The sequence below is a fragment of the Homo sapiens genome, chromosome 20 (genome assembly GCF_000001405.40).
Source record: "Homo sapiens chromosome 20, GRCh38.p14 Primary Assembly".
Lineage (NCBI taxonomy): Eukaryota > Metazoa > Chordata > Mammalia > Primates > Hominidae > Homo > Homo sapiens.
The window spans coordinates 52642425-52654620 of record NC_000020.11 but is presented as its reverse complement, the minus strand read 5'-3'; the positions used below and the strand labels follow the sequence as shown (position 1 = coordinate 52654620).

The 12196-nt window shown below is 39.8% G+C and overlaps 2 long non-coding RNA genes across 4 annotated transcripts in view; both read right to left on the bottom strand.

The window, feature by feature from the left end:
• The window catches only part of LOC105372666 (uncharacterized), a 483513-nt gene that overhangs the window by 39535 nt on the left and 431782 nt on the right, over positions 1 to 12196 (bottom strand). The gene's annotated exons all lie outside the window — the stretch shown is intronic.
• LINC01524 (long intergenic non-protein coding RNA 1524) overlaps positions 4195 to 12196 on the bottom strand; it is a 29589-nt gene continuing 21587 nt past the window's right edge. The window contains exon 3 of the long non-coding RNA NR_110038.1: positions 4195 to 8131. This is a non-coding gene — a long non-coding RNA (long intergenic non-protein coding RNA 1524). The remainder of the gene's footprint in view (positions 8132 to 12196) is intronic.

The window sequence follows — 12196 nt, the reverse complement described above, 5'->3', positions numbered from 1 at the left end:
TAAATTTAACATGAAGGTCCTAGAAATTATGATTGGTGAACTAGTCCCCACAGGAGCTAAATCAGGAGAGAGATAAAGCAAAGGGTAATTTCATCTCGGGGAGATGATGAGAAATAAAAATAGTCCATATTTGGCACTCCTGGAGTAGATTCACCAAATGTTCCCCAGCACTGGTATTTTTTAAAATCTGTATTTGTTTATAGAATAGGCAGAAAGATACCTTTTTAATATGAATTTATTTCTTGTTAGGGTCACGCACTTTCAAATATTTACTAGCCACTTGTATTTCCTCTTATGTGAATGGAGTATTTGCCCATGTTTCTCCCACAGGTTTTAGTTTTGAAAAATTGGTTCACATGAGTTCTTCAATAGTCAATATATTTACAATGCATGTGCCACATATGTTGCACCTATCTATCCATGTTTATAGTATGCTTTTTAATGCGGTCTATGTTGCTTTCAAAGTATAGAAAATTTATTTAAATTGTTGATGTTTCCTTTGTGATTTTTAACCATTTTTTAAAAATTTTGCTCTTAGGCAGTCCTTACCCACAATTTAAACTTGTTTTTAATTTTTGATAAGTAATGGTAATATTTTATCCTTGGAAAGAGAGGAGCATAAGGTTAAAACAGTCATCATTCCATTTTATTTTAAAAAGTCATGTCATCTTTACTTACTATACTAAATGGCTCTTGTTCTTCCTTCCTATGGCTGGCACAGCATAAGCCAGTGCCTGGACTAGGGTGAGGGGAATAAGGTGCCAAGGGCACCAAATGGAAGGATTAAATAGTAATTAACTAATTAGTATGTTTGAAAACATAAATACAACACTAAAAATCCAAAGAGTGACAGAGGGTAACAGGGGAAGCAATGTTAGAAAAATAAGTAGGAGAGTAAGAAGAGAATGAAACAACTTTAAAAATTGGTATCAGAAATAAAACAGAGAGGAAATTTCATTGAGGTGAGGTTGTGAGGATGAGTTGAAAATTATTATTTCCTTGTTAATGAATGCAGTAGATACTGGAGAACCATATTAATTATTGCTCATTTTTATGTTATTTTGTACTTATAGAACTTACCTGTTTAAGCCCTATTTCACAGTTTTGCTATGTGATATCTTTGGCTAGAAGAAGCGAAAGAATGGTGTCTTGAAAAAGTAAAAGTCAAGATTCTTAATGGAATACAGTCCATATTCTATTCCTTCCTTATCCACTTGAAGAATTATCATTCTCAGGTCTCCGATAGACTGCAACTGCTCTCTTTCCTTCTGCACCTAGCATCCCAAATGTCAACATGGACTTGAGGGAGCTGGCTGTGAGCTTGCCTTCCACTCTCTGCACTACTGGGGTACCATAGAAAGGCAGTTGGTCTTTGTCCTGGCTCCTGACACATATTTCTTAAGTTCCTTGTAATTTCCTGCATAATAAGGGTGACAGGAGCATCTTTTGCTCAAATGAGGTGACTCTTGGTGGGTCCCTAGATAGCTTCAGGATGGGGAATAGTTGCCAGAAAGACCAAGCCTTGATTAAAAGCATGGAACTTTTAGCTCCCAACCTCCCCCTCCAGGGAGGGGAAAGGGGCTAGAGATTGAGTCAATCATCAATGGCCAACGATTTAATCAATCATGTCTACATAACGAGACCTGCATTACAAACTCAAAATGACCAGGTTCAGAGAGCGTTCCAGTTCACAACCACATCCGTGTGCCAGGAGGGTGGGGCACCTCAACTCCATGAAGAGAGATGCTGCACTCGGGATTCATCTAAACTTTGCCCTATGTACCACTTTATCTGGCTGCTCATCTTTATCCTTTATAATAAACCAGCAGAAGTAAGTTAAGTGGTTTCCTGACTTCTGTGAGCCATCCTAGCAAACTGTCAAAACTGAGGAGAGAGTTGTGGGAACCCCCAGTCTATACAGCTGGTTGGTCAGAAGTATAGGTGACCTGGGATTTGCAATTGGCGTCTGAGCCCTTTAACTTGTTGAATCTGTTGCTAATTCCAGGTAGATGGTGTCAGAGATCAACTGAATTACTGGACACCTAGCTGGTGTTCAGAGAATTGGATAATTCGTTGATGTGAAAAGAAACCTCTGATTTGGTGTCAGAAGCATTGTTAAGTAAAAACAGTTCAACTGTATAACTTCCCCTTTCTAGGGAATTCCCTTGCATCATTTCTGCCTTTGATAGCAGAGCTTAGTGGCTCTTTTGATCTCATCATTCAGAAGTACAAAGTTCACCTTTTAAAGGAGAAGTAATTACATAAAATATTGCATTTTTTAATTATATATATAACTTCTCTGAAGTAAGATTTAACATGTATAGGGCAATATTAATCGATTTAATGTGGCTCATCTTTTGTTTTAAATTAAATTCCCCTAAAAATAATTTTTATGTATAAATTCCTGATAAGTTGTGTTTTCTTTTTATGTACTCCCAACATTTATCAAAGACTACATAATTCCCACTGACAGATGGTGTTTTTACTTTAAGTTGCACTTTCCTAAAATGTGATTTCAACATATAGGAAAAACCAAATCATTCCATATATTTTTTTCTATACACATAACCTTGATATGTATGGAATCTGGGTACTTGGAATTTAGGTTAACAAGATGGATGTGGCCTTTTACATCAGGAAGTTTAGTATGGAGAGTGTGTTAGGGAATGACTTCCCTCTTCTGGCCTAGAAGTTCTGCCTCTCTTTACTACAGCACTTAGTTGGTGGATGGGAATGGTCCACAGGCTCTTAGAAAATTTGTTGGTGTGCAGCAAACAAGCTCACCTCTATTGGTTCCTGGCAGGAAGGAGAGATGCAGCAGCAACTCTGCAATTGTGAGCAATAATTTCCAAGAGAGATGTAAGACTGTGCTAATATTGTCAACACCTTGTTGATTAACTTTCTCTGGAAGAGCATGTATAGCAACTAATCAATAACAAGTCCAAGTCTTCTCTTCTCCTACTACTCACTCTTTGGTTGATGGAGGTTAAAAAAAAACTTATGTTTATGTAATTTTTAACAACTACCAGAACAAATCCTGAGTCAATGTTTGACAATCTAAATCCCTTTAAAGTCCTCCTAGGGATTGCAAGTTGTTTATTGATCAAATCCTCGTGTTTAGAAAATGAATTCCTCTATGAAATTGGGGGAAGAAATTCCAGTCATATGAATGAGTTGGTCTTTTCTTCCAAGGCCAATAGTGAAATAATTTATAGAGAAGAATTGTAAGTGAATTAGCAATTGAGACACTGGGACTTATCTTCAGAGGAGAAAATCTAAATATTTGTCCGATTGAAAATAGTCACACTTCTGTCTGTTAAAGAAAAAAGTAAACAAGAGACACAGTATTTAAGTCCTAAGAAGAGTGGCTAGAAAATGAGGATTTAAAATTTTATCCAAGAAAAATGAAATAAGCACATTTTTACCCATTTCTCCTTTAAACTAGTTACATCTGTTGAAATTACACATTTATAGATATTAACAATTTGGATAGTTGAGCAATTCTTTATTGCATTTTGTTCCTTAACTATTACTTTTAGGCAGGAGTGATACTAAAATAATCAGCAACCTACATAGCACTCACATGGCACTAACCAATCAGAACAGACATTCCCGTGTGCAGGCTTTTTTCTTTAATCTTTACTCTTTATTCTTCATTCTATAGCTGCTTGATCAATAAGGAGTCTTAGTGTAGGACCTTAGGTGACCAGGATGAGGTAGGGGATCTTCAGAGGAAACTAGAGAAGGAGCAACATATAAACTAGTACGGCAATACCAATCATCCTTGCTGAATATCAACTCTTAAGTCCAAAGTCAAACTCCATTATAAAAGACATCACAATACCATCCCAGTTTTGTTGTTGTTGTTGTTGTTTTGTTTGGTTTTGTTTTTGCTGGGATACTATTTGTGTTATTAGCATAATACAAATTATACATTCTTGAGTTAAAGCTGAAAGAAAAAACCTGAGGTGTAGTCCTCAGGTTAAATATCAGCGAGGAAATGCAAGGTTCTTAACAAAATAGAAAGTTTTAATGTTATGTGCTTTTCATTCTAACCTCTTCTTTTTTCATGCTCCTAAATGTTTTGGTATGTTGCATTTAGTTTGGATGGTATATTAATCAGGGTACACCAGAGGGAAAAAAAGACCAATGAGATGGGGGGAGAGAGAAATAAGATTTTTTTTTTTAATTTGCTCATGCAATTGTGGGGGCTGGCAAGTCCAAAATCTGTAGGGCAGACAGGCAGACTGGAAATTCAAGTACGAGTTGATGTTGCAGTCTAGTGTCTGAATCTGCAGGTAGGCCAGCAGGTAGAAAACTCAGGCAGGGTTTCCATGTTCCAGTCTTGAGACATAATGGTGTCTTCGTTTGGAAACCTCAGTCTTTGCTCTTCAAGCCTTCAACGAATAGAATAGGTACCACCCATATTATGAAGAAAGCAATCTGCTTTACTTAAAGGCAATTGCTTTGAATGCTAATCACATTCACAAATATCTTCACAGTAACATCTAGACCACTGTTTGACCAAATAACTGGGCATCATAGCCTTGCCAAATTGACACATAAAATTAGCCATCACAGATAAGTATTTCTGAAACTTAATAATAGGAAGGATGATGGAACTGCTAAGGTATGGCAAAATAAAAAACCCATGACTAATTCAATACCTTTAAATATGTACTTTATGCTGGGCCCAGTGCCAAGTGCCTCTCTCTTCTACACCTTACAATAGCTTGAAGGGGTAAATATTGTTATTATTCCACTTTGTACATGACCAAACAATGGTTAGGAGAGATTGCATCACTTTGCTGTATTAATTTCCTATTGTCACTATAACAAATTAGCACACATGTTGTGGCTTTAAAACAACACAAATTCATAATCTTACAGTTCTGGAGGTCAACAGTCAAAACTGGGTCACATTGGGCTAAAATCAAGGTGTCAGCAGGGCTGTGTTCCTTCTGGAGGCTCTAGGTCTAGAGGAGAGTCCATTTTCTTACTTTTTCCAGCATTTAAAAGCTTCTTATATTCTTTGGCTTGTCATCTCTTCTTCTATTTTCAAAGTCAACATGCTAGCAGTTTCTAACCTCTCTGATTCTGACCTCCTTTTTGGGATGACATTTGTTCCACTCAGATGATTCAGGATAATCTCCCACCTCAAGGTTCTTAACATAATCGTATCTGCAAAGTCCCTTTTGCCAGGTAAGGCAACATATTCACAGGTTTCAAGGATTAAGACACTAGCATCCTCAGGGAGCCATTACTCTGCCTGTCACACTTGCTTAGTCTCACACAGCTGATAGTAGTGAAGTCAGGATTCAAACCCAGTCCCATCTAACCCCGGAGTCAACGATCTTGACCATGGTGGCTTTTCACCTCCCATAAATACCATGCAAAAGTAATTTAAGTCATTAGAGTGACTATGTATTTGAGCATGAGCATGAGCAGCGATCATCAAAAGCATTTGTCATAGAGAAGCAAGCAGATTCACAAAGCACTGCTTAGTAAATTATCCACAGGCACATGAAAAAGCTTTGTTACAAAGAATGCTTAAACATCTGGAATTTTACTTCCACGACCAACTGAAAAAGCGAATTATTCAGGCTTCCAACACTAAAATGATGCTTCTCTGATCACATAGATTAGCTACAAAGCCAAATTTGGAGAAGACTGAATTTTTAAAGAGTATCTTGGAAGAAGAAAGAAAGGAGACAAACAAGGACGCTTTAATGCCAAAATTAGGGCTACTGTCCTCACACAGAACACCCCAAAATCTCAAGGATCAGTTTGCAGACTTGACCAGCTCCAAGAAGCCACATGGATAAAATAGGGTTGGGAGGATTTGGAAAATAAAGCTTGGAATCCACCAGCTTGTGACAGAAGGAAGAAGGATGTATTTACTTGGATAAAGAGAGTTCAAAACAAAACTCCGAAAAAATTACAAATAAAATCGCCCAAGGAAAATGAAAAATAATAAGACAAACAATCCCGTGTGAACACACTGCCTATTCTCCTTTAACGGTCTTTTTGCTAATTCCTCAGTTCACCATGTTGCAAGACAACATTTTAAAAATGACCATGGAAACAGCCTGTTCGAAGGGCTGGCAGCAGAGCACAGTGGGCAAGGATGCCCTGTTTACAACGCAGGTGCACACACACACACACACACACACACACAAACTTAAGTTGATTTTTCAATAACTTGATTTCTACTTCCATTTTCTCTGCCCTGGGAGATATTTGGCTGTTGATTTAGAGATGCGATCAGCTCTGAAATACTACTTTTCTCCTTATTTTTATGAGAAGGAAGATTAAACAACAAGAAAAGAAATTTCCATCTGCCTTCTATAACACTTCCCTAGGAAAAACTGATTGCCTTATAATAGGCAGCAGTGGTTCTCAATTGGTGCTATTTGTGCCCCAGTGGGCATTTGGCAATGTCTGGAGACATTTTTGGTTGTCAGAACAGGAGGTGGGGAGGCAGGTACTATTGGCTTCTAGTGGTAGAGGGTATGCTGCCAAGCATCCTACAATGCACAGGACAGCCCCTATGACAAAGAATTATTCAGCACAGAATGGCAATAATAATAAAGGTTGAGAAAGCCTGACCCATAGCCTAGTGGATAAGAACAGGGCTCTGGAAGTAGATAGCCTGTATTCAAATCCTGGCTTCACTACAGACTAGCTGAACACTTTAATGTTTCCATACCTCCACTTCCTTATCTCTAAAAGAGACAGCAAATGCACCCACTTTAGAGGGTTCTTGTGGGCATCAAATAAGTTAGTCAAGGTAAATGCTTAGAGTACAGCCTGACAAATAATATGCATATCACAAACGATGCACATATTCTTAAATATATCTTCGTAGACTACTAACTTCACAGGCTCAAAATTGCTTACCTGTTTAGCTTCCTCAACTCCCTCACTGAAGTGTGAGCATCCTAAGGACAACACTGGATCTTAATTGTTTGCTTCACCTCAGCACCAAGCACAGAGGTTAAGGAGACTTAGAAGAAATGAGATGCCAAAGATCCAATCCACTGTTGGTAGCCATTGTCATTGGCCATCGCCCACATCCACTCAGCCCTGGGCACTCTGGGCCCCATGGCTTCATGTTCTCTATGACCGAAGGCTTTCTCTGACCTGAAGTGCCAGGGAATCAATACCGCCAGTAAGCAGCCCTCAATCAGTAACAGATGGAATTGGTGGATTAATATCCCAGTTCCCCCGGCCCTCACGAGCATCACTGTGAGGTACATGTTCCCCACTGTCTCAGGCTTCCCTAGCAGGTGTAAGCTCCAATTGCCCAGAACAGTGCCTTGCTTGATAACATGCCCTTTCCTGATTGCCTTCCCATCCTTGTCTCATTTTCCCCCTCTTCCGCCACTGTTTTGTGGATTTACCTCCCATGTAAGCGACTGTACTCTGACCCTGGTCTTCGAGGTGGCACCTGGAGGAACTACAACTAACACAGCACTCTAGGAGTAGGATGGGCCAATTTCTCCAGGAAGATGATCTCCCTGACTAAATATTCCTGCACATTTGTGGGAGATAAGAAATCACAGTACTTGGACTCAGGCTCCACTCCTGTCCATTTCTCATCTCTTGGGAAGCAAGTCCCTTTCCACAAGATGGCAGGTGCTGAAATGGGAAGTAGAAGGGAAAAAAAATCCATTTTCAGAGTGATGAACTAAATAATTTGCCTCCAGGTCTGAGATGGGTATTAAATGAAACTTGAAGTAATCTTCCCAGCAGAGCTTGGGGGCACCTGTGACTTTTAAATGGAGCTACTCTGTTTCTAGGGAAATACATACTTCTAAAAATTACGCTTGAGGATAAAAGCTTCCAACAATAAATCTCCCGGAGGCGCACTCCTCTAGGGACAAATATACTGGGAAATCTTCAAAGAGGGTGCTCGGTTTATCACTTCGTGTCTCTTTCCCACTGCAGAAGGAAATCCCTCTGTTTCCACTGAGAAATCAAGTCCACTGGGACCTCTTCGAAGGATCGAGAGTTCTTCAGCTCCTCCCATCCCCACCCCTTAAAGACCACAGATCATTTCATTCTGAAAATAATCCTTTGGGGGTTGAAAGCAGACAGCATATTAACAATCGATGCTGTTCCTCTTGACCTGAAGAAAAAAAAGAAAATCAAGCATACAAATAACAAAAAGTACTCATTCCTGCTGTGAAATAAAAATATAATCTCACATCTGTTCCTTTATCTTTCACGGAAAACCGGGTGATACTATTACTAAGAATTTGTTGAGCACTTACTATGTGTCTTAGTCTGTTTTCTATTGCCTATAACAGAATACATGAAACTGAGTAATTTTAAAGAAATTTATTTTTCACAGTTATGGAGGCTGAGAAGTCCAAGGTCAGCGGAGTGCAGCTAGTGACAGTCTTCTTGCTGATGGGGACTACAGAGTCCTGAAATGGCCCAGGGCACAGCATGGGAAGGGGGCTAAATGTGTTAGCTCAGGTCTCTCTTGCTCTTCTTATAAAACCACCAATCCCACTCCTATGTTAATTAATTATCCATTAATCTATGAATGGATTAATTCATTCATAAAGTCAGAGCCCTCATGACGCAATCACCTCTTAAAGGACCTACCTCTCAGTACTGCCACATTGGAGATTAAGTTCCAAGAACAGTTTCAGAGGTGACAAACATTCAAACTATAGCATTATATATAAGGCATTTAAATTTATCTCACTTAAAAATTCCACAAGATAAATAACAGTATGTCCATTTTACAGATGGAGAGTCTGAGAGGCAAAGCTTTAAAAAATTGATGAAGTTTATGCGATTAGCTCATAAATAGCAAAGCTGGGATTTTTTTTAACCCAGGAGAGCCTGACTTTAGAATTCTACACTCAGTGATTACCTTACATGAAACTTAAGTCAATTTAACTAATAAACATCATCTGAGGAAAGCTGATTAACTATTCCACTAGATATCAGGCAAGAAAACAGGGAGCGTATAAAAACTGACAGTCGTCAGAAGGAAAAGCCCAATGAATGGGGAATAATTGCTGCTGATGGCCAGTGAAGTCTTTCATCTAAGATTCCATAATCATCGTAAACTTTATTTCTCATATGTATATGAAACATGCGTATAACTACAACGCAGTTGTTGAAGAATCTAATTTGCAGGAAAATGAAATTAAATATAGGAGTAATAGAATTAATAGAAAAATGAGACTTGGAGATGAATCTACCCTCACTAAAGAAAATGAGGAAAAGAGACCCATGTTCTACTGCACCAAGACCAACACTGTGACTGAAAAACCTCTCAGTTTCCTGCAAAGTGAATGTGCTGAATTCTCTTCAAATTCCCCACCTGCCTCACACTCAGAGCTGTGTGTCAGACTGCCCTAGCCCAATTCTGAGCTCCAACACTCACTAGCTATAGGGGCTTGAGAAGTTCCCTCATCTTTTGTGAGCCTCTGCTTCTCACTAAAATGCAGCCAGGGCTAATAACTTCATCAAAGGATTGTTGTGAAGATGAAATGAGCAATGCATGCAAAGGCATGACTCCATGACCAGCAAGTAATAAGTACTCAGTAATTATTCCTGGGTCTCCTTCTGCCCTCACCTGAATCCTGAGAGTGCCAGGCAGTGCACACAGACACCACTGGCCCCAAGCTCTATCCAGTGGCCTTTGAGCTTGGCTTCCTTTGCAGACCAGAGTAAAGAAGGGAAACGGTTAGGTGAACTAGCCTCTGCATTGAGCTCCTGGCGGGGGGACTCTCACATTGGTGATTCAACCATTTATAGGACTCCAAGTTCAGGGGAGGGCCCTCTTTCATTCCCAGCCCCCTGGGATGAGATCTTACGGGGATGAGCCTAGAAGAAAATCCAGCTGTAAGTGCATGGATTCTCATGGCGCTTTAGGATGCACTGAACAGAAAGAAAATGCTTATAACCAGGGGGCGATACATAAACAGGTGGGTGTTAGGAAGACTGATGAGTGGCCCAGAACATGAACTCTTTCTTCAGAGGTTCATAAAAATAGCCCTTATTGACTGAAATTACTTTAAAGAAATTATTCCTAGTCCTCATCATAAATGAATAAAATTGTTCCTTTATCTCCAGTTTACAGGTTGGATTGATCTCAAAGTTCAAGTATCTTACCATAAAGCCCTAGTTGGGAAGAGGCTGATTTGGAATACAGACTCAGACATCCTGATTCTGCACCCTGTAATCTTTTCTCTCTCCCTTCTGTGTCCCTCTTGAGTGATTAGTGTTTCTACAGATACCTAGAAACAGTGGGTTGTAGACAGAGAGATGAGCTGCTCAGCTCAGACCTCCCTTCAGGAAAGGCCTTACCATCTAGCTGAGGGGTGTGGGTCAGCAGACTGTACCCCCTCCCCACTCCTTGCCATCTGTTCTTGAATGCAGGGGCTGCCACAGCTGCAAAGGGCCAGCTGCACCCAGGTCATGCTTTCAGAGCAGCCCCCATAGTGATACAGCAAGGTGGGGGCATAAAGGCCCAGTCATTTCTGTCCAAGGCAGGATGCTCTGATAGGCAATACCAGCCCCAGAGCTCCCCAAAGGGTTGGCAGGGGCTTTATCAGAGTTGCATGTCAGTTCAACGTCTGCCTGTGCCCGATCTTGCTTTCTCCCCTTCTTTTTATAGGTGTTAATCCCAATAAATACCTGAAACTCCCAATTCTGCCTCCAAAGAACCCAACCTGCAGTACAAAATGAAGTACAGAGTGTGGTCTACAGAGCCACTCTGATCCTAAAATCACAATCATTCCCATTCAGAGGGCCCAGGGAACTCAGGTCTTTTAAGCCGCAGAAAGATAGGCTCAGGTAGGGAAAAACAGACGTTGTGTTTTGGAGTCAAAAGACCTCTGTTGGACCCTTAGCTCATCCACTGTCTATCTCTGTGTTAAGCAATCCAGGTGACCTCACTCAACCTTATAGGAAAATTAGAACTAATATTACTTCATGGGATCAATCGAGAAAATGCAAATAAAAATCACAGCGCATTTTATAATGCTTATCACTGTCATCCTGACATATCCCCCTCATTCCATTATAGATGAATGGGCATAGTTATTTGTGGCATGGGAGAAATGCTTCTCTCTTTCCCAAACTCAATTCCCCTCTCACTAAAGGAGAGTAAATTCCATTCTTTTCCAAAACTCTCCAAAATCAGCAGGCCCAGCAGCAAGAAAGCGAGGAACATTGTTATTCTTGAACAGCAGAGCTGTAGCATATAATTAAATCATTAAGAGGCAAATTAACTCCTCTAGCAATACTCTTCTAAGTATTTGTGGGCAAACCCATTAGCATTGTGCCAGTAAACTCTGAAATTTCTTTGCATGCAGACTGAGTAACTACAGCCTCAAAGGAAAGGGGTGGGGTGGGTAGTGCAGTGCACGGTGATTTGACCTACCATGGAGATATACGGGAGTGTTAGGGTGGGGAATAGACAGGATGCTAATGATGTGTTGTGACTATATTTCATAAACCCTTGAAAATATAGCTGCCAGATTTCTTCTACATAGAGCCAACAATAAATCTATTTGTTTCCCAGGAAAACCATTCAAGAGTTTTTGGTTTCCCATTCACTTAGTCTTCATCAACTGCCCCCAGTTTTGCTGAATTCACTCAGCTTGGATTATTTGGTTCTGGAGAGGACATAGCTAGGCAGGGTTACTGAGTCAGTAGAATGGGCATCTTCCAGTGGGACACTTTGGAGCTGTTTATTTAGCAGGGTTTTCAGAATAATGAATATAAAGTGGGCTTTGACTCTGTAGCCAAATATATATTTATGCTATTGACTCAAATTCAAGGTGACCAATCTGGTTGGCTGTCTGTGGCCTTCAATTCTTCAAGGCTTGAGTGTTTTAGTCAATATGTTGATCATTTATATGATGACCCTGCTTAAACCATTTAATAAAATGTAAACAACATGAAAGTGTATTGGAAGTCAACATAGCTCATTATTGTTGCTTATACACTCATCGAAATCCTGAGCAGGGCATCTGACCTGATTGGAGGTTTCCTCCAGAGTCATACAATAATTTCAGCTGTGAAAAAAAAATTTTATGGCATGTAAGATTAGCCCACACTAATGCAAGGTCAAAAATAATAGAATCAATAGGCAAACTCAATACTGTTAACATTTTGAGAAAATTACTACCAGAAAACAATGTCAACAACAGATTGAAATGGG